General features: G+C 41.7%; 1 pseudogene, besides 2 other annotated features; it reads right to left on the bottom strand.

The window, feature by feature from the left end:
- Nucleotides 14,919-15,692, bottom strand: CRIPTOP4 (CRIPTO pseudogene 4; annotated as a pseudogene).
- Nucleotides 23,313-23,813: an enhancer, noted in NCBI's record as "H3K4me1 hESC enhancer chr6:3933347-3933847 (GRCh37/hg19 assembly coordinates)". NCBI's record gives its function as "activates a minimal SCP1, AML or CMV promoter by ChIP-STARR-seq in naive H9 embryonic stem cells {active_cell/tissue: H9 hESC(naive)}" and the evidence as "EXISTENCE:reporter gene assay evidence [ECO:0000049][PMID:30033119]".
- Nucleotides 23,814-24,314: an enhancer, noted in NCBI's record as "H3K4me1 hESC enhancer chr6:3932846-3933346 (GRCh37/hg19 assembly coordinates)". NCBI's record gives its function as "activates a minimal SCP1, AML or CMV promoter by ChIP-STARR-seq in naive H9 embryonic stem cells {active_cell/tissue: H9 hESC(naive)}" and the evidence as "EXISTENCE:reporter gene assay evidence [ECO:0000049][PMID:30033119]".

Here is a 25,091-nt window from a genome sequence, read left to right as displayed (position 1 = left end):
AAATAGTATATGTAATCAACCTGTTTTTCCATTTTTTAGAACAATGAAGAGTAGGGCAGGAGTGGAATGAGGGTCAAAAGTAAGCCTTGGAGTCCTGCCCCAAAGTTTTCTAATTAGATTATGAAGGAAAGACCTTATGCAACTAAATTACCCATTTGGGTCAGGTGTAGTGGCTCATGCCTGTAATCTCAGCACTTTGGGAGGCCAAGGCAGGAGATCACTTGAGGCCAGGAGTTCAAGACCAGCCTGGCAAACATAGGGAGACCTCATCTCTATAACAAATTTAAAAATTGGTAGGGCATAATGATGTGCACCTGTGGTCCCAGCTACTCAGGAGGCTGAGGTAGGAGGATCATTTGAGACTGGGAAGTCGAGGCTGCAGTGAGCTGTGATCGCGCCACCGCACTCCAGCCTGAGAGACAAAGGGTCATTTGTGTCCTATTGATATTTGTAATAATTAATGGTCTTGTTGCCCCTTAGGGTTGCTTCCTTTTCCTTTTCCCTCACTCTCATTTTCCCTGACTAAAAAGGAAAAAAACTCAACAAATAACTAGTAGCTGGCATGTTAATTATTAGATCACTTTTAAGCTTTAATAAACCCAATGATGTATGATGAAACCTCAGGCCCCATAGCCTGAGTAGGTACCAGTTTCATCACAAAAGACCCATTGTTGCCTCAGCCAGTGTTCATTGAGTTATGCAGCCCCAGGCTAGCATGAAGAACCCTGCCCTACCTCCAGCTCTGATTTACTTTATCTGAAGCAGATTCATCGCTGCTCACAAAATGAGTTCCTTGCAACCCATTAAAATCCTCAAAGTACAAGGCCATGAATGGGGCACTCCTTCTTGCTACTCTCAGCAAATTAGCAACCTGATTCTAAAATTTATGCAAGACGCAAAAGGCCAAGAAAAGCCAAGACATCCTTAAAGAACTAAAAAATAAAGCACTCGAGAGAAACTAAGACTTAATATAAAGCCACAAGAATTAACACAGTAACATTGAAACAAGAATAGAAAAGAGAGCAATGGAAAAATCAAAGTCCAAAAACAGAGCCACACATATGTAGGTATGTGATCTATGACAAAGAAAGTATTGGCCGGTGGCTCATGCCTGTAATCCCAGCACTTTGAGAGGCTGAGGTGGGCTGATCACGTGAGGTCAGGAGTTCAAGACCAGCCTGGCCAACATGGTGAAAACTCATCCCTACTAAAAGACACAAAAATTAGACGGGCATGGTGGTGGGCGCCTGCAATCCCAGCTTCTCAAAAGGCTGAGGCAGGAAAATTGCTTGAACCCGGGAAGCAGATATTGCAGTGAGTCGAGATCGCGCCACTGCACCCCAGCCTAGGCGACAGAGTGATACTCTGTCTCAAAAAAAAAAAAAAAAAGTATTGTAAGCCGGGCACGGTGGCTCATGCCTGTAAGCCCAGCACTTTGGGAGGCCAAAGCGGGTGGATCATCGGAGGTCAGGAGTTCGAGACTAGCATGGCCAACATGGTGAAACCCCGTCTCTACTAAAAATACAAAAAATTAGCCAGGCGTGGTGGCACGCACCTGTAATCCCAGCTACTCGGGAGGCTGAGGCAGGAGAATCACTTGAACCCAGGAGGTGGAGGTTGCAGTTAGCCAAGATCGTGCCATTGCACTCCAGCCTGGGCAATAAGAGCAACATTCTGGCTAAAAAAAAAAAAAAAAAAAAAAAAGAAAAAGAAAAAAGAAAGTATGGTAGACTAGTGAAAAAAATACATTTAAAAAAGTAATGGTGCAAAGTCATTTGAACAACTATATAAAAAAAAGAAAACCTTGGAACATATACCATCTACAACAATCAATTTCAGAAAGTAACTTTAAAAATAAATGTTTAGGTGGGCCACAGTGGCTCATGCCTGTAATCCCAAAACTTTGGGAGGCAGAAGCAGGCAGATTGCTTGAGTCCAGTAGTTTGAGACCAGCCTGTCCAACATGGCAAAACTCTTTCTCTACTAAAAATACAAAAATTAGGGGAGTGTGGTGGCGTATCTGTGGCCTCAGTTACTCAGAAGGCTGAGGTACAAGAATTGCTTGAACCATGGAAGTGGAGATTGCAGTCAGCCAAGATTGCACCACTGCACTCCAGCCTGGGAGACAGAGACTCCATCTCAAAAAAAAAAAAAAAAAAAAAAAAAAAAAAAAGAATATGAATGTTTAACAAATAGCACATAAGAGAAGATACATTATTTTTATAATATCAAGTTAGAGGAAGATTTCTTAAACAGATCACCAAAAAAAAACAGTACTTATAAAGAAAGAGATTGGCGAATTGGACTACATTCAAATTAAGAATTCCTGTTTATCACCTCTATGCATACAAACTAGAAAATCTAGAATAAATGGATAAATTCCTGGACACATATACCCTCCCAAGACGAAAGCAGGAAGAAATTGAATCCCTGAACAGACTCTGAAATTAAATCAGTAATAAATAGCCTACTGACTACAAAAAGGCCAGTCCAAGATAGATTCACAGCCAGATACTACCAGATGTATAAGAAGAAGCGGTATCATTCCTACTGAAACTATTCAAAAAAATTGAGGAGAGACTCCTCCCTCACTTTTTCTATGAGGCTAGCATTATTCTGACACCAAAACCTGGCAGAGACACCACAAAAAAATAAAGCTTAAGGCCAGTATTCTTGATGAACATCCATGCAAAAATCCTCAACAAAATGCAGGCAAACCAAATCCAACAGCACATCAAGAAGCTTATTCATCACGATCAAGTAGGGTTTATCCCTGGGGTAAAAGGTTGATTTAACATACTCAAATCAATAAATGTGACTTATCTCATAAACAGAACTAAAGACAAAAACCACATGATTATCTCAATATATGCAGAAAAGGCTTTTGATAAAATTCAATACCCTTTCATGTCAAAAACTCAATAAACGAGGTATTGAAGGAACATATCTCAAAATAATAAGAGCCATCCATGATAAACCTACAGACAACATCATACTGAATGGGGAAAAGCTGGAATCATTCCCCTCGAGAACTGGCATAAGAGAAGGATGCCCGCTCTCACCACTCCTATTCAACATTGTATTGGAAGAACAAGCCAGAGCAACCAGGCAAGAGAAAGAAAGAAAGGGCATCCAAATCGGAAGAGAAGTCAAACTGTCCCTGTTTGCAGATGACATGATTCTATATCTAGAAAACCCTATAGTCTCAGCCCAAAAACTCCTTAAGCTGATAAACAACTTCAACAAAGTCTCAGAATACAAAATCCATGTACTAAAGTCACTAGCATTCCTATACAGTAACAACAGTCAAGCCAACAGCCAAATCAGGAATGCAATCCCATTCGCAATTGGCACACACACAAAAAATACCTAGGAAGGCAGCTAACCAGGGAGGTGAAAGAGCTCTATAAGGAGAACTACAAAATGCTTCTCAAAGAAGTCAGAGATGACACAAACAAATGGAACAACATTCTATGCTCATGGATAGGAAGAATCAATATCATTAAAATGGCCATACTGCCCAAAGCAATTTATAGATTCATTGCTATTCCTATCAAACTACCAATGACATTCTTCAAAGAACTAGAAAAAACTTTTAAAATTCATATGGAACCAAAAAAGAGCCCAAATAGCTAAGGCAATCTGAAGCAAAAAAAAAAAAAAAAAAAAAAAAAAAAAAAAAAAAAAAGAAAAAAGAAAAAAAAGAAACAAAGCTGAAGGTATCATGCTACCTGACTTCAACTATACTACAGGGCTACAGCAACCAAAACAGCATGGTATATTGGTACAAACACAGATACATAGACCAATGGAGCAGAATAGAAAGCCCAGAAATAAGGCTGCAGGCTGCACACCTACAACCATCTGATCTTTGACAAAGCAAACAAAAACAAGCAGTGAGGAAAGGATTCTCTATTCCATACATTGTGCTGGGATAACTTGCTAACCATATGCAAAAGATTGAAACTGGACCCCTTCCTTACACCATATAAAAAAATCAACTCAAGATGGATTAAAGACTTAAATGTAACATCCCCAAACTATAAAAGCCCTGGAAGACAACCTAGGCAATACCATTCTGTATATAGCAACAGGCAAATATTTCATGATGAAGACACCAAAAGCAATTGCAACAACAGGAAAAATTGACAAATGGGATCTAATTAAACCAAAAAGCTTCTGCACAGCAAAGGAAAACATCAACAGAGTGAACAGGCAACCTACAGAATGGGAGAAAATATTTGCAAACTATGCATCTGACAAAGATTTAATATCCAGTATCTATAAGCAACTTAAATTAACAAATAAAAACCAAACAGCCCCATTAAAAAGTGGACGAAATACATGAATAGATACTTTTCAAAAGAAGACATACTTGTGGCCAACAGGCATATGAAAGAAAGCTCAACATCACTGATCATTAGAGAAATGCAAATCAAAACCACAATGAGATACCATCTCACATCAGTCAAAATTACTATTATTAAAAAGTCAAAAAATAACAAATGCTGGCAGGGTTGGGGAGAAAAAGGAAACAATTATATGCCATTGGTAGGTATGTAAATTAGACCAACCATTGTGGAAAACAGTGTAGCAATTCTTCAAAGACTTAAAAACAGAAATAGCATCCAACCCAGCAATCCCATTACTGGGTATATACCCAAAGGAATAGAAGTCTTTCTGTCATAAAGACACATGCATTTGTATGTTCGTTGCAACACTATTCACAATAGCAAAGACAGGGAATCAACCTAAATGCCCATCAATGGTAGACTGGATAAAGAAAATATGGTACATATCCACCATGGAATACTATGCAGCCGTAAAAATAGAACTAGATCATGTCTTTTGCAGGAACATGAATGGAGCTGGAGATCATTATCCTTAGCAAACTAATGCAGGACAGAAAACCAAATACTGCATGTTCTCACTTATAAGTGGGAGCTAAACGATGAGAACATATGCACACAAAGAGGAGAGCAACAGACACTGGGGCCTACCAGAGGGTGGAGGATGGGAGAAGGGAGAAGATCAGGAAAAATAACTAATGGGTACTAAGCTTAATACCTGGGTGACAAAATAATCTGCACGACAACACCCCATGTCATGAATTTACCTAACATAACAAACATGCACATGTAGCCCTGAACCTAAAATAAAAGTTAAAAGAAAAAAGAACTCCTGTTTATCAGAAGACACCCCTAAGGAAGTGAAGAGGTAAGTAACAGAGTGGGAGTAGATACAACACATATAACTGACAAAGGGCTCACATCCAGAATATGTAAACACTATGAATCAGTAAGAAAAAAATATCTAATGAAAAAGTGAAAAGATACCAAATTAAAATCAATGAGGCCAGGTGCGGTGGCTCATGCCTGTAATCCCAACATTTCAGGAGGCCGAGGCAGGAAGATCACTTGAGGTCAGGAGTTCAAGACCAGCCTGGCCAACATGGCAAAACCCCGTTTCTACTAAAAATACAAAAACTAGCTTGGTGTGGTGGCAGGCACCTGTAATCCCTGTTACATGGGGAGGCTGAGGCATGAGAATAGCTTGAACCTGGGAGGTAGAGGTTGCAGTGAGCCAAGATCACGCCACTGCACTCCAGCCTGGGTGACAGAGCGAAATTCTTGTCTCAGAAAAATAAAAAAAAAAAAGGGATACCACCACACATCCTCCAGGATAGCTAAATAAAAAAGACTGACAATTTTAAGTGTTGGCGAGGATATGGAGCAATAACTCTTAGTGCTGAAAGGAGTATATAGTGCTAGGTGTCATGTATTAGATTTTAAAATTAGCATATTTAGGACCTATGTATTTTACTCCTGGGATAACAGAAATGTATGCATCAGAAAAGACATGTACAATAATGGTTACTGGGACATCTGGGGTTTGGTCTAGGACCTGCTGCTCACAGCACAGAAAGTCAATCACTGAGAAGAGTATTGCCAGGGAAGGAGGCTTTAATTGAGTGCTGCAGCAGGAAGAACAGTAAGTTAGTCTCAAATCTGTCTCCCTGACCAACTAAAATTGGGGGGTTTATATAGTGAGGAAGGCAGGAAAACAGGAATTAGGAAGGGGTAAGGAAGCAATCACGATGGACGAGGAGTCTGGCATCTCGTTGTCTGGATGCGGCCATCTGAGGAGTTTCCATTCTTTGCCTGAGGGTCAGTTTCTTGAGGAAGGAACTCAGATGGGACAAATGTAAGTTTGAAGTTTTAAGATCAGGGAGGATCAATTTCCATGTTTATTCAAAAAACCATATATATTAGTTCTATGGGCCAATTGGGCTGGTTTCAGAATGCACATGTCATCATTATTTGTAATAGGAAAAAAAAATCTTGAAAAAAAATCCAAATGAGACTTCTCGTTTCCAGCTTGGAAGCTGTCACTCCTGTCCTTACAAGAAAAAAGTTGAACAAACTAAAAATCAACTTTTAGGTTTATCAGAGAATTGAGGTCACAGGACAAACCACTACCTCTTTAGAGAGGCAGGTGAATACAGCGAATCAATCATAGCTTACCAGGAGCAGAGGCCACTGGAGCCAGGACCAGGGAAAGAAAACCTAAATAGCAATTGCCAAATTGCTGGAGGCTCAGTGTGCATGAGCTTGAAACATAAACATTAGGAAGGTCCCATTATAGGGGGCCCACACTTTCATAAGCCTAACTCCAGGGGAGCCCCCACCAGGTGCTCAGAGAGAACACCAGAGAAAGGCTCTCTCCTGATTTCCTCAGGGAAGGGAAAAAGTAACCATTGTGAAATACATCCAGGACATTGTGTCTTAACAAAATCCCTCCCTGGAGGGAAGCTGTACCATGGAGGCTAACTACCTTATGGTTTTCCAGAGCCTAGCCGACCCAGGGGATGGAGAACACCCAGCTGCAGCCCCTTCTAGCCTTCCTGCCTCACCTAAGCAGGGATAGAGAAGGGTACTGGTTGGCTGAGAAGCAGCCCAAGGCACAGGCTCTGCAAAATGGAGACCTAATCATAGGTCTACAGAACACTTCCCTGCCCTCCACACCTCAGCACCACATCAATAGGGCTCTTGCAACAGGAGAGGACAGCCAAAAAAAATGCAAATTTTAGACCTTATTTAAGACGTCTCTGGGAAAACCCAAAGACAACAGGAGAGAAAAAACAAGAGGATTAGAGGAAATTTTAGCCTCTAACACCTGTAGCTAGAGCAAACTGTAGACAGCTGAACTCCCAGCCAGAGAAGCAACTTCACACTAAAGGCGTACTTGTCTCAGTTCTTTCTACCCAGTCATGTCTAGCAATTCAACAAAAAATGATGACACACGAACAGGCGAAACAACACAGCTTGAAGACGCAGAACAAGCATCAGAGCCAGACTCGGTTATGCCTGAGATTCTGGAATTATCAGACCAGAAATTTAAAGTACCTGTGAATAATAGGCTAAGGGCTCTAATGGAAAAAGTGGATCATATGAAAGAACAGATGGGCAATGTAAGCAGAGAAAAGAAATTTGCAGAATTGTAAGTAAGGAGAGAAATGTAACGTGACTAACTCCATCTTGCTTCTAACTTCACAGGCTAAATTGGTTTTTTGCTTAATCTAGTATAGAGGCCAAGATAACTATGAGAGGAATTTTGTTTATAGCTCAACTTTGAGGCAAGGAAAACTAACCCATCTCCTTGTTCGGAGGTTGAAGCCACATTCATAAGACAAAGTTAGAATTCTGGTAGGGTGTTGAATTTTGCTGAAGAAGAGGTGGCAGAGTTAAACAGTGACCCGTCATCATTCAGCTTGTTTTTCCATAAGTTGCTTCCTGATCCAGAGTCATGGAACCCAGGGTTGCAAGATTTATAAATTTCCCAACTACTCCTACAGATAGCATCACTGTTGTGAAACTGAAGGGGAACTGGTCTTTGAGACATTTTTCAGATTTAGCACTTTGGTCAACCAAGAGCTGCCACCTACCTGGTCCTGAGTCCCCCTCCCAGCTGGATAAAGACAGTTCTAAACAATTCCGCGATTTCCTCAATTGTTTCAGTTTCCCAGCCCCCTGCCTGGCAAAGTACCATTAAAAAAACCCCTCGTCTCCAAATTCTTGGAGAGACGGGTTTGAGACATCTCTCCCGGTCCTCGTCTGGCCGCCTCTGCAATAATTAAACTCTTACTTCTGCAATACTTCTTGTTCTCACTGCTCTTGGCTTTTTGGGCAGTGAGCAAGATGAACCCATTGCGCTGTTACGGAAACTCAAGAAAAGATCAAAAGGAAATGCTACAAATCAAAAACACTCTAACAGAAATTTAAAAATGCCTTTGACGGGCTCATCAGTAGCTCGAAAACGGCTGAGGAAAATCAGTGAGCTTGAAGATATGTCAATAGAAACTTCTTGAACTGAAAACAAAGAGAAAAAAGAATGAAAGCCATAGAACGGAATATGCAAAAACTGTGGGAGGGTTTAAAAAGACACGCATAATGGGAATACCAAAAGGGGAAGAAAGAAAGGAACAGAAGAAGTATTTGAAGTAATAATGGCTGAGAATTTTCTAAAATTAATAATAGACACAAAATGAAGGATCCAGGAAACCGAGAGAACACTGAACAGGTTATATGCACTTATATATATCATAGTCAAACTACAGGAAAATCAAAGAGAAAACCTTGAAAGAAGCCAGAGGAAATAAAACACCTTATTATAAAGGGACAAGGATAAAAACTACATCAGACTTCTGTTCAAAAACCATACAAGCAAGCAAGAAAAAACTCACCAACTTAGAATTCTGTGTCCAGTAAAATTATCCCTTAAAAGTGAAGGAGGTCGATGTGATGAATATGCTAATTATCTTGATTTGATCATTATGCGTTATTTGCATTGAAACATCACTGTGTATCCCATAAATATGTACAATTATTATACAATTATTTTACATCAATTTTTTAAAGTAAAGGAGAAATAAAGACTTTCTTAGACAAAAATTGAGGGAATTTAACACCAGTAGATCTGCCTGCCAAGAAATGCTAAAAGTTCTTTAGAGAGAAGGAAGATGCTGTAGGTCAGAAACTTGAAACTTTATCATTTTGAAAATGTGGGACCCTCCAGCTACCATCCCCTCCTCCCTCCCTCCCTACATCCCTCTCATACATTGACTGTCCTTAGGAAGTGAAGTAGCTTTTCCTGGAATCCTTAGTCAAAATTAACTCGGTGCCTGCTCGTTGCTTTCACACGTGTGTTAAGACACACACAGAATGGGGGATAATCACAATTTGTGGTGTGGAGGAAAATAAATTTTATTTTCAGTGAACTCTTGGTGTTCAAACCTTGTGGATTTCAGTACCTCCCATATGTGAGGTTCAAAAATCAGAGAAATGGCCGGGCACAGTGGCTCATGACTGTAATCCCGGCACTTTGGGAGGCCAAGGTGGGTGGATCACTTGAGGTCAGGAGTTTGAGACCAGCCTGGCCAACATGGCAAAACCCCGTCTCTACTAAAAATACAAAAATTTACTGGGCATGGTAGCGTACGCCTGTAATCCCAGCTACTAGGGAGGCTGAGGCAGGAGAACTGCTTGAACCCAGGAGGCGGAGGCTGCAGTGAGCCGAGATCACACCGCTGCGCTCCAGCCTGGACAACACAGCAAGACTCCCATCTCAAAAAACTAAAAATAAATAGAGAAACCCGTTAGTTTTAAAAGTGTCATTTAAGGGGGAGGAAAGTAGAGACTTCTGTGCACGTGAGTGAGTGAAAATTCACACATCTACTTCTGCCTTGCAATTTTTATGTGTAATGATGTCTTTACTTTGGCGGTTAGTTACGTCTGAGAATAAGTACACTCTATTAACAAGGAAACACTACTTTCTCCTCCCTTTCTCCAGAATGGGCTACTGGCTTCTCGCTCTCCTTTTCTCCTCCTTGCAGGTGACGTCACACTGTTCTGCTGACACCCTCCGTGAAAGTCAGGGCTGTGCGGAACTCACTCCAGCGCCCCCATCCTTAGCCGCTGCCTCCTGTCTCCCTGCCCAGGGCTCAGCCGCTAAGACAGACCCCCTGAGCTGTAGTGCACTCCAGGCTTCTGTCCTCGCAGACAATCCCCAGACACAGAGGACGGAGATCTCATTTCGGGTGGGACTCTGGAGCTTTTTCCAGAGCCAGACTGCTTGGTGGAGCCACTGCAGCATTCTGGAAGGGTCCTTGATTGAACATTTTGGGGCAGTGTTTTTTCTTGCCTGTCCTTTATAAAGGCTGTGGTGCAACCCTTCAGGCACTGTCTCCTTGAATGTGACTGGCACAGGGCCTGACACATAATCGTGCTCAATATCTTTCCTCTATGAGGGAGGCGCGCGCACACACACACACACACACACACACACACACAAAAGAACTACAGGGGAATTTTAGAAGAGACAGACAACTGTGTATGGCTGAGATGAGAATCAGAACTGTTTTGTGGATGAGGCTGATTAGAGGAAAAAATTAAAGTGTAGGTTCAATCCCTCATTCACCAGACACTATCACCAACTGGCATGTTTTAGTTTTGCTATGGAAAGAGAAATAATGGTGACTGAAAACAAACACAAGGCTTTACAATCTGGTGAAGCAGATGAATGTTCATCAATTAATTACATAAATAAATATAAATTCACACGGGAAGCAACCTAAATGTCCAATAGGAAAATGGTGAAATAAATTGTGATAGGTTCTTTTACTTTAATATTATGTGGCCACTGAAATTGTTTCAGGTCTGGGCACAGTGGCTCATGTTTGTAATAACAGCACTTTGGGAGGCTAAGGTGGGAGGATTACTTGAGCCCAGGAATTCCAGACCAGCCTGGGCAACATCATCATGTCTCTACAAATAATACAAAAATTAGCCAGGTGTGGTGGCACCTGCCTGTAGTCTCAGCTACTCAAGGCTGGGGCGGGAGCATCACTTGAGCCTGGGAGACGGAGGCTACAGTGAGCCATGACAGTGCCACTGCAGTCCTGCCTGGGTGACAGAGTGAGGAGTGAGACCCTGTCTCAAAAAAAAAAAAAAAAAAAAAAAAGGAAAAAACAAAATTGTTTCAAAGATTCATAAGATGAATACAATAACACTGGGTGTTTAAAAAGTGGGATATAGGCTGGGCATAGTGGCTTACGCCTGTAATCCCAGCACTTTGGGAGGCCAAGGCAGGCGGATCATGAAGTCAGGAGTTTGAGACCAGCCTGTCTAACATAGTGAAACCCGTCTCTACTAAAATACAAAAATTAGCTGGGTATGGTGGCATGCACCTCCAGCCCCAGCTACTCGTGAGGCTGAGGTGGGAGAATCGCTTGAATCCGGGAGGCGGAGGTTGCAGTGAGTCAAGACTACGTCATTGCATTCCAGCCTGGGTGACAGAGTGAGACTCTGTCTCAAAAGAAAAAAAAAAAGTGGGATATAAAAATACAAAATAAATCCCAATTTTATAAAAACAAATGCATGTTTGTCTGTGATAGGAAAGTTGTTACAGACCACAGTGAACAGTGATTTCCCCTGGTGATGGATTAGGAAGCATAGAGCATCTTCTCCTTAATGATGAATGTTTTGCGAGGAGGTAAATGGATTTGTTTTTCCAACGTTTAAATTTACAATTAGATGCTTTGCATGCTTTAAACGAGGAATTAAAGCTTTAGCATGGATTCTTTCTCTCTCTTTGAGTCGTTTCATTTGGTTTTGATGGGGCAGGAGTAAGGTGAAGGTCACCCAGCGCTTGTTGAGTGGGTCGTGTGTTTCTGGAAGAAGCCCTGGCAGAGAGGGGTTTTGAGAGATGTGACATCTGGGCTCTCATTCCCTTTCTGCACCTGTCTAAGCAGGTTCATCTCCTCTGTCTGCCGTTTGTCTTGTTTGGGGTTTTGTCTGCTATTTCTGAAGGCAAAAGCTTGTGTGCAAGGAGAAAGTTCTAAGAAATGCTTCCAGGGATGATGATGAGAGTTTGATTTTCAAGTGAGTGTTCCTGAGCATCTGATTAAACTCCTATGTCAGTATAAAAATGTACATTGTTCTGGATTAATTCCATCATTTCATAGCGATAACTCCCATCTTCTACAATTCCCACCAAAAGGGACTATCTTGTTTGAAAGCTTTTCCCTTGGGAGCCACTGGTGTATTATGTTTATCAGCTTTTTAAAAATTCTGTTTCTGTTTTTCCTTTAAAGTAGCTTGGCGTTTTTGAGCTGAAAATCAAAAGTACTGATGGTATACCCATGAAGATAGAATAAGGCATATAATTTGTTATACAAAGTGAAAATTCTAGAAGGTTTTTTCTCTAATCTGTAAAATTTTTTCTTTCAAGATAGTTTTTCTGTGTTCTCTAAATTTTTATTCCGAAGACCTACTGGGTCATTTAAAGTGAGAGAGACCAGTTGGACCAAGGATGATGGCACATAAACTTGTCTTTTACGATGGCTTGGACTTACCCTCCTTTGCGAAATAGAGATACTGAGAGTTGGCCTTATAAAGATGGGGGCTATTTTTGCATTATGATTCAAGAGATGATGAAAAAAACTCCTGCTGCTTTCCTTATACCCCAAATTACACAATTAGTGACTTATGCTTTTAAGTCTAGAAGACTTTTCATCGTGAGTTTCTGTTAAAATATAGATATCCAGGATGGAAAGCAGCTTCCATCCAGAATCTTACCAGGGTTCCTGCCACCAACTGAGAGGACAGAGTGGAACGACCTGGTGGGAAAACTCATCCCTGCTGGGCCTGAGGGATAGGCTGGAAGGAAACTGGCTTCGCCAAGGACTTTTCATAGCTGCTTCTGGTTCTGCAGTGAGAGATTCTAGTATATAGACTGTACAGTTACTCAGAAGAACAAGGGTAATGCATACACATTTCACCTGCTTGAAACTGGTTGGTCATTTGCTTCTGGAATTTAGTTTATTCTCTTTGCTGATTAATTTATAACCTATTCCATCTTTCTCCTCCCTTTGCTGGCAATTGCTGCTCTTTTTAGGGATTGTTGTGGGGAAGAGACTATGATTTTCTACCATAGTGTTTGTTAGAGTTCAATTCCATCCTACTATTCTGGGAAAATGTGGATCCTCCCACCTCTCAACCATCATCCCTTCCCTTTCTCAGTTTTTGTTCTGCTTCTGCAAGTTTTCTTAACATGTGGGCAATGGAATCGTTGAGCAATTTTGGTGAAATAAATTTCCATTTACCAACGTGTGAAGAGTACGCATTCAGGGACTTCCAGCGTAGGTATACAATAAACTGTGGACTGTGTTTGAGGAAACCCAGCTGTTCACTACCACAACTTGATGAAATGAACGATGGACTCGAGCCTTTCCGGGCTTGGCTGGCAGCCCCCGAGTCTCCGTCCCGTTCTAGGAAGAAGTGCACCAAGGTCACCGTGTGCAGGGAGAGAGAGTCACATGGCTCTCCACCAAGAACAGATCCCATCCCTGCTGTGTCTCTCAACCCTGCCTCCTGAGAGCGTCACGTTGAGAGATGTACCATCCCTGCTGCAGGAAGGAGTTTGTTAGCAAGCTCTGGGAAACATCTGGTTCCTTGAACTTCCTATGTACCTCATGGTGGGAGATTTTGAGACATTTCACCATTTATCAAAAATGGTTTTCAGTGTTAAAAATGGTTCTTTTTTGTTTTGGTTTTGTTCAGTCTTTCCTTTTTCTCAATGTATTTCCCATTTTTACTGTGCATATTCATATACATAATTTTTTTAAAAAAGGGTTTTATGCCAGGTGCGGTGGCTCACGCCTATAATCCCAGCACTTTGGGAGGCCGAGGCGGGCAGATCATGGGGTCAGGAGATCGAGACCATCCTGGCCAACATGGTGAAACCCTGTCTCTACTAAAATACAAAAAATTAGCTGGGCATGGCTGTGCGCGCCTGTAGTCCCAGCTACTCGGGAGGCTGAGGCAGGAGAATCACTTGAACCCAGGAGGAGGAGGTTGCAGTGAGCCGAGATCGCGCCACTGCACTCCAGCCTGGTGACAGAATGAGACTCCATCTCAAAAAAAAAAAAAAGGGGGAGGTTTACAATGTATAGTTTTTATCACCTAGTTACAACTAAATATTGTGAACATTTTCTCTTTTTTTCTACAACAGTTAAAATAATTACATAGTTTGGAAGAAACATAAGTTTTTAAGTAGTCTCACTGGGAAAACTGAGGTAAAATTTTTTTCCAAGAAGACTTCATTTTTTTTTTACAGTGTCTTGAGCAGAAAGGGAACTCCTGTCTTAGGTAGCTTGCTACAGATGATAGAAACTTGCCCTTCAATTAACCTTGTAACTTGCTTCTGTACACCCACATAATCGTGAATCAAGTGATCCACTTTGTCTTTTCCAATCTGTCTCTCCCACGTGCTTCTTCTTTCCTATCCAGTCTCATCATGCAGATGAACTTTCCTTACTTCAGCACTTCTGGCTCCTCCCTTTAAAAAGGGATGATATTAGTTGATTTTGATCAACTCTACTCAAAACTTTATCCTCAGTTCCACATTAGGATTAGCCTTTAATAATCTGAACATATAATTCAATTGCTTAAAAGAAAATATTATTAGAAGATCTTGGTAGAATTACACATATCAAGAAACACTGGACTCAGACATGATGTAGATATGACTGACTTTCTTTCCTTCTTTTTTTTTTGAGATGGAGTCTCACTCTGTCACCCAGGCTGGAGTGCAGTGGTACGACCTCAGCTCACTGCAACCTCTGCCTCCCAGGTTCAAGCGATTCTCCTGCCTCAGCCTCCCAAGTAGCTGGGACTACAGGCACACATCACCACATCCGGCTAATTTTGTATTTTTAGTAGAGATGGGCTTTCACTATGTTAGCCAGGCTGGTCCTGAACTCCTGACCTCAGGTGATCCACCTGCCTCAGTCTCCCAAAATGCTGGGATTATAGGCGTGAGCCACTGCACCCAGCCTCTTTTTTTTTTTTTTTTTTTAATAATTTCTCAGGGGAGGGCAGGGCAGAGGTAAGAAATAGTTGGTACTGTAAGGAAGTGTTAGAGACTATTATGGAAAGGTGTTCGTTATCTTAAGGCAACTAACAAACGATTATCTTTCAGTCAGAACATTGGAGCAGCAGCCTTTACTGGTCATGAAATTTGCATGATATCTAAACTTGTATTTGTAGAAAAAGGTAAATGTTGATTAATAGCAACTTTGTATAGAAAGGCAGATGCCAGCATAAAAGTGGTACATGAAGACAGTGGTAGTTTTGGAGTCCTGGTCCTTGAGGTGCTTGTCCATCACAAGGCCGTCACACCCAGGTAGAAATGCCTGAGGCAAGCAGCGGAGCTGTCCATGTCAGCATTTACACAGGGAACACTTCTTGGACAGCTGGGTGTCACGGGGCTCAAACCTACGGCTCTCATTGTGCATGTAATATTCACAGGTCTGTCCATAGAAGGACAGGGCTCAGACACAAAAGAACCCCAGCATGCAGGTTCCCCATTCAGACAGCAGGTTCTGTTTAGCTCCTTACTGTCTTGTATCCCCATGGAAGGGATATACTGGGAAGACCGTGGGTGAATTGCAGGCTCCTCCTGAGGCTGAATGCTGTCATCTCTGAAGGCTCGGCCTCCTGAGGTGACTGTGCAAGTTCATGGTGGCCCAACCCGGCAACGAATCCCGTTTCAAATGCCTTGAAATGGCCATGATCAAAATTACACTCTGACATTGTCCCCTGAACATTTGGGCAAGCCAGAGTATAGGAGAGAGAGAATTTTTCATTGTTTTTAGTTAGGAGGGAATGGCTGATGGTTGTTTGGCTATTCCACAGATTCACGGCAGAGCAGCTCCTTCTGGATCCCTCATCCCCATGCAAGCTGGGAGCTCTGCTCGGTGCTTCTCAAATCCGTTTTGTTTTTCTGAGTCAAAGGGGCTGCTGACAGCCCATGAGCCGGAGCACCTGAAGCAAATCTATTCCCAGCTTGAACAGTGCAGGTAAGGAAATTGCCAGAGTGACCATCACTAATTTTGCTCCCTGGTGCTAAGTGCACCTAGCGGGCATGCTGAGTTCTACCCCCTCCTGCCATCCAGTGGCGTCAGGGACTGGCATGGTCCCCAGTGCTTTGCTGCCTGGGCTGCCTGTCTGTGCAGGGCCAGTTTCAGCTGTGTGCAGCCTCCAAGCTTCAAGCACAAAGGATCACTCAGTTGCTGAAGAGCAGAAGCCCCAAGCATCTGTGGTAGTTTATTGGCGTGCTCAGTAATCTTCCTTCAGCTCAAGCAACAGGCTCCTAAACAAGGATCAGGTAGAACTATTTTGCATTCATTTGCAGCTAGCCATTAAAAAAATTACCCACTCGTTTAGGAAGCAGCCACAATTTATGCTTTGTGATAAAATTTTTCAAATGATTATATTTCTCAATGATTAAGCACCACGATCAAGTATGAAAAACAAATATTCAAAAATTTTCAATATATGCAATATATGTGATGAACATTTTAGTATTAAGAATGTTAAGAATCAGCAGTTTTAAAAAATAAAAAATGTAATAACATGAAAATATTTTAAACATTACTATAAATGAATAAAAAAGCATATATTTTTAAGCATCAGATTGGCAGAGATAGGAAAACTCACATCATGCCCTATGCCCATGAGAGACTGGGAAAAGCACCTGCTCATATATTACTGGTGGGAGCATTCATAGACACAGCGCTTTCGTAAGACTGTTTGGCAGTGTGTGATGACAGTTTAGAACTTGCACACTCATTTTCCGACATGGGAATTTCTTCTTAATTCATGCTGAGATAAGCAGACAAACCTCAAAGGAGACTGGCCGAGGATGGCTGAGTGCAGCGTTATTTATCTCCCATGCCGTCAGTGGAGAGCCTGCTCTGCCTCCTGTTCCGGTGATGTGCAACTCACTGGATTCAGAGCTTATGCGTAGCCCCAGGGCAAACCCAAGGTACCCGGCTAGTGACTGAAGGGACATTTCTTCTGTTCTGGGTAGAACAGTCACAGATTCTAGAGCAGGGGCCCTGACACTTGATGAGGAGCATCCACTTTGTCTTTCCCTGAAGCAAATCATTAATGTCCAGCACATGGCAGTTATGTCAGCTCCACAGATGGAGCCTGGCCCATGTGGCTGCTGTCCCCTGGGCTCAGCGTCCCTGCTCTGAGATCCACCTGCAGGTATTTAGCCAGGGCAGGTCTGGTCTCCTGCACTGACTGGCACCAGCCAGGATTAGAGACTGAGTGGCCTGGGGCTCCCTCCTGTGTCACCTTCGTTAAAGCTTCGAGTTCCAGGAGCAGCAGCCTTCTCCTTCCACCCTCTTCAGGAACACCACTGGAGCCTGGTGGCCATCTGGGTGACCCGATGCCCTCAGAGCAGCAGGGTTTGCTCCGTCGTCATGAATGGCATCTCCATGTGCCAGTGTCATCAGATGGTCAGAATGGGGTGTGGGGAGCACAAGGCAGTTGTGTTGTGGATTTTTTTTTCCTAGAGGAATTAGAAACCTATTTACATACAGTTAGCATGAATTTACATACGATCCTCTCATAACTAACTCCAAAAACTTCTCTATGAATTCAACTAATTAGTGCAACTAATCACTATTGTAGCCCAACCCAGCATTAAGGGCATTAAATACATAAAATACTGAATAGATTTGTAAAGTCATCATCATGATAATGGTAAATCAGCTTAGGTCGCTCCCAAACACAGCTGGCAATAGCTGCTCCCAGTCCTGATTCTTTATGCTGGAGCGATAGCTCAATTAACAAATTCCAGAGAAATTGTACCTTTATAACAGTTGGCTGAGTTAACTCCTACTCCCCACCTCCCCTAAAAAGCACAAAGAAGGAAAAGAAACTAATGTTAATTTACCATCTTTCATTCAATAGGCACTGTGCTAAGGGGGCACAGTTATTATTCCACATGTATTCTGTCATTCAATAAGAAATCTACATAGTTGTTGGTTGATGAAGAGAAGAACACATAGAGAATGTCACATTGTAGATTTGTAGGTTATCTGAGATTGCCCTTAGGGTGTGCAGTGTTTGGCCTGCATGAATGCCTGCCGCAGCTGAGTCTACCTTTCCCTCCTTTCTTACCCTGTATCCTGGAGTGACTAGACCACGGCCTGCCTTACTTGAGAATAGAAACTGTGGGGAGGGGAGCAGCTCAACCTGCTCTGCCACTGGCCATGTGTTGAATCCCAACTGATGGGTTCCACTGGGCATTGATATTGTCCTGCACATTATTGAAATGACATGCTCACCACTGGTGTGTATAGCTGACTTTCAGTAGGATTTGGGGAAATGTTACCCCTTCAGAGGTTGGGCAGGGGATAGGAGGGATCTGTTCTCAAACAGTACAAGAGTCCTCAAAATTCAAGCTACTCTGTGCAGTCATCTTAAAGTACTGATTTTTTTTCTTCCTTTCTTTTTTTTTTTTTTTTTTTTTTGAGATGGAGTCTCGCTCTGTCACCTAGGCTGGAGTGCAGTGGAGCAATCTTGGCTCACTGCACCCTCTGCCTCCCAGGTTATAGTGACTCTCCTGCCTCAGCCTCCTGAGTAGCTGGGATCACAGGTATGCACCACCACGCCTGGCTAATTTTTGCATTTTTGTAGTAAGAACAACCTGTGAGTCATTCTCCTGGTGAATACCTTTCCACTGTGGCCCTAGGGCCTAGAACCTTCTCCTGTGGACCTGACTACCAGCAACAGAGAAGTTTACTTCTTGCAGATGAGCTCAGTTCTGTGCTAATGAGCTCTTCTTTCCCCACTGCTGCCCCCAGACATGGCTGCATAAACCTTCGCCAGCCAACCTTTGCTGTGGAGGGCAACCATGGTGAAATCCACCGCCATTGGCCTTGAACAGAGACGGTGTCCTGGCTGAGAAGTTAGAGGGAGGAGAAGTGTCTAGTCTTCATAGCTTTCCAAAATGGTCCTGTCCTGTGTGGCAGGGTGTTTCTAGGGTAATAGAGTTTCAGTTATACTGTGGCCTGATTGATATCCAAACACTCCATGGAACTTTTTTTCTAGAAAAAAAATGTGTGGCTACCAATAAATTCATAAACAAATTGATAGGTAATTCTTTTGTAATTTGGGGTAGACCGCCTGGTCCAATATTTTAAAGCTATTGTAGCATAGTTATTTTTAAAATAAATCACTGCCCTACCTTAAGTCAATTTCTCCCAACACCAGAGTGATAGTTCAAAATTATAAATGTGAGTAAACTGTAGAATGAAATTTCCAGTGTCTCTGAATGGACTGTGCTCATTGCCCTGTCATTGCCCATTGTCTTATCCATCCACTAAGATCTCACTTTCCTCCTTCTGTGACTTCCCCTTCTTTGAACGTCTCTGGGACCTGCTTGATTAGGCACTGCCTTGCGTGTTCATTTTTTTTTTTTTTTGAGTTTTGTATTGTGAAGTAGATTTTAAGTCCCATGAGTGAGAAGATGTATCTTATGCTGCTTCTGTATTGGTAGCACCATTTGGCTCACTGTTATATGTCCCAATATGAAGCTATGTTTCTCATGTTGAGTTTAGGTGATATCACATGGCTATAAAGGGGTCAGTTCTCCAACAAGACAAAACAATTCTTCATGTATATTCACCCAGCAACAAAGCATCAAAATATAAAGCAAAAACAGATAGAATACAAGGAGAAATACATGAATTCCATGTTATAGCTGGAGACTTCAACACCAGTATATCAGTAATTGACAAATCTAACAGGCAGAATATCAGTGAGGTCATAGTTGTACTGAGCAGAACCATCAATCAACTGGATGTAATTGACATTGTAGACAATTTATCTAACAACAGCAGAGTAAGCATTCTTCTCAAATTCATGCAGCTCATTCAACAGGATACACCACACTCTGGGCCATAAAACATACCTTAACAAATTTATAAGACTAGAAATCATACAAAGTTTGCTGTAAGACCACAATGAAGTTAAAATTAAAAAAAAGAAACAGATAGTCGGAAAATCCCAAAATCCTTGGAGATTAAACAATACACTTCGAAATAACACATGGGTCAAGGAATAGGTCTCAAGAGAAGCTTAAAAGTGGTTTGAATTAAATAAAAATGCAAATACAACTTTTCAAAATTTGTGGAATGCAGTAAAAACAGTGATGGGGGACATTCATAGCACTGAATGAACATATTAGAAAAAAGATATATCTAAAATCAATAATCTAGTTTCGAATTTACTATTAGAAAAAAGATATACCTAAAATCAATAATCTAGTTCCCAATTTACCTTAGGAAACTAGAAAAAAGAGAAATCCAAAATAAGCAAATGAAAAGAAATAATAATAATAAAATAAAAATTAGAACAGAAATCCAAATAAGCAGACAAAAAGAAATAATAAAAATTAGAACAGAAATCAATGAAATTGAAAGCAGAAAATCAACCCCAAAGTTGATTCTTTGAAAAGATGAATAAACTTGACAAACCTTTAGCCAGACTAAGGAAGACAGTAGAAACAATACTAACACCAGAAAATAAAGATGGGCCATTGTGATGCCATGAACATTAAAGGGATAATAAAGGATTATTATGAACAACTCTACGTCCACACATTTGATAGCCTAGATAAAATGGATCAATTCCTTGTATCAATTCCTCTATCCAGACTCTCAGAAGACACATAGGTAATCTCAATAGAACTAAGTCTGCTAAATTTTAATCAATAAGCTTCCAGCTAGGCATGGTGGCTCACACCTGTAATTACAGCACTTTGGGAGGCTGAGGCAGGAGGATCCCTTGAGTCCAGGAGTTCAAGACCAGCCTGGGCAACATAGTGAGACCCTGTCTCCACACTAACTAAAAAAATTAGCTGGACATGGTGACATGTGCCTGCAGTCCCAGCTACTTGCAAGGCTGAGGTGGGAGGATCGCTTGAGCCTGGGAGTTTGAAGCTATAGTGACCCATGATAGTGCCACTGCACTCAGCCTGGGTGACAGAGTGAAACCCTGTCTCAAAAAAACAAACAAAACAAAACAAAACAAAAACAACTTCCAAAACAGAAAGCAGCAGGCCCAAATAGATTCACAGGTGAATTCTACCAACATGTAAGGAAGAAATTATACCAATTCTCTACAATCTTTTCTAGAATGTAAAAGAAGAGAGAATAATTTCTAACTCATCCTACGAAGCCAGTATTACTCTAATATAAAAACCAAAAACATTACAAGAAAGGAAAACTATAGACTGATATCACTGATGAACGTAGACAGAATAATCCTCAACAAAATATTAGCAAATCAAATCCAGCAGTGTATTATTTCAGGCATGCAAGCCTGGTTCACCATTTGAAGGTCAATTAATGCAATCTATCACATGAACATGCTAAAGAATAAAATATATGATCATATCAATAGATGCAGAAAAAGTATTTGATAAAATTCAAACTCATTCATGACTAAAAAAAAAAAAAAAAAACTCTCCACAAACCAGGAACAAAGGGTAATTTCCTTAATTTTATAAGAAATATTTACCAAAACCCTACAGCTAACCTCATACTAAGAGTGAGAAAGTAGATGCTTTCCTGGTAACATCAGGAATAAGGCAAGGACATCCCCTCTTACACCATTTAGACTCAACATTGTTGCGATGTCCTAGCTTACACAATAAAACAAGAAAAGGAAAGAGACAACACAGTCCCTGGGTGTCTATGGAAAATTGATTCCAGGAACCTGTCTTTCATACCCAAATCCATGGATCCTTAAGTTCCTTATATAAAATGGTGTCGTATTCGCATGTAACCTACATACACCCTCCCACAAACTTTAAATTACCTCTAGATTATACTACCTAAAAATGCTATGAAAAATAGTTGTTATGCTGTATTGTTTTTTAAGTGGTATTTTTAAAATTGTCTTTTCCCAAATAGTTTGATCCATGGTTGGTTGAATTCGTGGATGCAGAACCCACATATATGAAGAGCTGATTGTAAATAGATTGGAAAGGAAGAAACAAAACCATCTTTTTTTTTTGTACATTACATGACTGTCTATGTAGAAAATCCCAAAGGATCAACGGAAGTCCTAAAACTGCTGAACAATTATAGTAAGCCTGCAGGATACAAGATTAATATAAAAATATCCATTGCCTTCCTGCATACCAATAATGAACAATTGGAATTTGAAATTTAAAACAAATTGTCATTTAAATTATTTAGCACCAAAAAGAAAGAAAGATTTAGGTTCAAATCTAACAAACCAAGTACGAGATCTATATGAAGAAAACTACAAAACTCTGTTGAAAGACATCAAAAAAGATCTAAATAAATTGAGAAATAATCCATGTTTGTGACTAGAAAAACTCAACATTGGCAAGATTTCAGTTTTTCCAGACCTGATCTACAGATTCAACACAATCCCAATCAAATCCCAGCAAGTTATATTGTAGATATCAACAAACTGATTCTAGGGTTTATATGGAAAGGCAAAAGACCCAGAATAGTCAACAAAAATATTGAAGGAGAATAATAAAGTCAGAGAAATAATGCTATACAACTTCAAGATTTACTATAAAGTTACAATAATCAAGACAGTGTAATATTGATGAAAGATTAGTGAAATAGATCTATGACATACAAGTGAGATCTCAGAAATAGATCCACATAAATAGAGTCAACTTGTCTTTGACAAAGGACAAAGACAATTCAATGGAGCAAAGATGGTCTTTTCAACTAATGATACTGGATCAACTGGACATCCACATACAAAAAAGACCTTAGACACAGACCTTACACCCTTTCTAAAAATTAACTCAAGATGGATCACAGACCTAAATGTAAAATATAAAACTATCAAACTCTAAAAGATAACATAGGAGGCCAGGCATGGTGGCTCACACCTGTAATTCCAATGCTTTGAGAGGCTGAGGCTGGAGGATCACTTGAGGCCCGGAATTTGAGACCAGCCTGGGCAACATAGTGAGACCTCGTCTCTAGAAAAAATAAAATTAGCCCAATGTGATGGTATGCATCTGTGTCCCAGCTCCTTGGGAGGCTGAGGCAGGAGGATTGCTTGAGCCTGGAAGGTCAAGGCTGCAGTGAACCGAGACTGCACCACTGCACTACAGCCTGAGTAACAGAGTGACAACCTGTCTCAAAAAAGAATTTTTTTTTTGTATAGCTGTACGATGTGTTTGTGTTTTAACAGTCAAAAGTTAAAAAACATAAAAAAGTTTATAAAAAAAAGTTACAGTGAGCTAAGGTTTATTTTTGAAGAAAAAGGATTTATAAATGTAAATTTATAAAAACATGAATTTATTAAAAAAATTTATACATTTAGGCCAGGCGCGATGGCTCATGCCTGTAATGCTTTGGGAGGCTGAGGCCAGTGGATCACCTGAGGTCAGGAGTTCGAGGCCAGCCTGGCCAACATGGCGAAACCCCGTCTCTACTAAAAACACAAACATTAGCTGGGTGTGGTGGCAGGAGCCTGTAATCCCAGCTGCCCCGGAGGCTGAGGCAGGAGAATCGCTGGAACCCAGGAGGCGGAGGCCTCAGTGAGCTGAGATTGAGCCATTGCACTTCAGCCTGGGCAACGGAGCAAGACTCTGTCTCAAAAAAAAAAAAAAAAAAAAAAAACGGGAAAGAAATAAAACAATGTACAGAGTGAATGGGCTATGTGGGCTTGAACTGGAATGATATGCCACTAGACGGCTCCGGACCTGTCCACTGGGGCCACCAGAGGGCAGCGACGGCCTGGGAAGGTGCAACCACCTGCCGCATGTGCTTCCTGCTGTTCCTTGTACCCCCAATTCAGAGCTCAAAACTTGAGTCCTCCCTGAGTTCTGGCCTGAGCTGAGTGACTTGCCTAAGTTTCAGGACAGTGACCCCGGGGGCACCCCTTTTTGGCACTGACTGGCTGAGTTCACGAAAGGCGCCTCTGAAGGGAGTGAGGTGTGACTTCCCTCCGAGTGCCTGGGACAGGACTGACCAGGCAACCAGGCAGCACTGACAAGAGGTGGGGACACCGAGCAGCTCTTTTCCTGGACCTTCCCTCCCGCTCTGTGGACTTCAGGGAGGATGCGCTTCAGAGCTCCTCACGAGTGAGCCACACGTGGAGACAGTGTGGGGGCATCCACCTCCTGGCCCATAGCACCCCACAAAAGATGTTGTTCTAGCCATAGTCTCCTGTATTGTCGCTTGCCTTGATGCTGCACCAATTCACCCCTCAACCGGGGGTACAAGAGATCACACTCTGGGAGACCAGTGGCACAATGTTTAATTTTTAAAAGGGAGCTTCAGCTCCCAGGCTGAGGCAGGTGGATTGCTCGAGGCCAGGAGTTGGAGTCCAACCTGGGCAACACCATGAGATCCCATCTAAAAAAAAAGAGAGAGAACACTTTATCCCTGCCCTTCCTAAGCCCTAATAAATTACTATGTGTGTGTGTGCACAGGTACACATGCTTGTGTGTATATATATGTGGAAAATCCAAAATTTATATGTTAAAATAATTTTGCACGGTGCAGTGGCTCACGCCTGTAATCCCAGCACTTTGGGAGGCCAAGGCGGATGGATCACTTGAGCTCAGGAGCTCTAGACCAGCCTGTGCAACATGGTGAAACCCCGTCTCTACCAAAAATAAAAAAATTAGCCAGGTGTGATGGCGCATGCCTGTGGTCCCAGCTATTCAGGAGGCTGAGGCACAAGAATCACTTGAATCTGAGAGGCAGAGGTTGCAGTGCACTGAGATGGCACCACTGTACTCCAGCCTGGGTGACAGAACGAGACTGCATCTCAAATAATAATAATGTGTTCTTCCTGTCACATGGAATCTTTATACTACAGATAAAACAACTAGGCCGGGTGTGATGGCTCACGCCTGTAATCCCAGCACTTTGGGAGGCCAAGGAGGGTGGATCACTTGAGGTCAGGAGTTCAAGACTAGTCTGGCCAACATGGTAAAACTCCATCTCTACTAAAAATACAAAAATTAGCCAGGCGTGGTGGCACACACCTGTAGTCCCAGCTACTCGGAGGACTCAGGCAGGAAAATTGCTTGAACTTGGGAGGTGGAGGCTGCAATTTATTTTATATAACAACAAAAAGGTGGCACTAACTGGCGTCTGTGCCTCTACAACATAGGTTCTAAATTAACTTGAACATTGGGTAACACAAGCCAATTGACAA

The sequence above is a fragment of the Homo sapiens genome, chromosome 6, assembly GCF_000001405.40.
Source record: "Homo sapiens chromosome 6, GRCh38.p14 Primary Assembly".
Lineage (NCBI taxonomy): Eukaryota > Metazoa > Chordata > Mammalia > Primates > Hominidae > Homo > Homo sapiens.
Note: the sequence above shows the minus strand (reverse complement) of the source record. Positions and strands in the feature narration are given on the sequence as shown.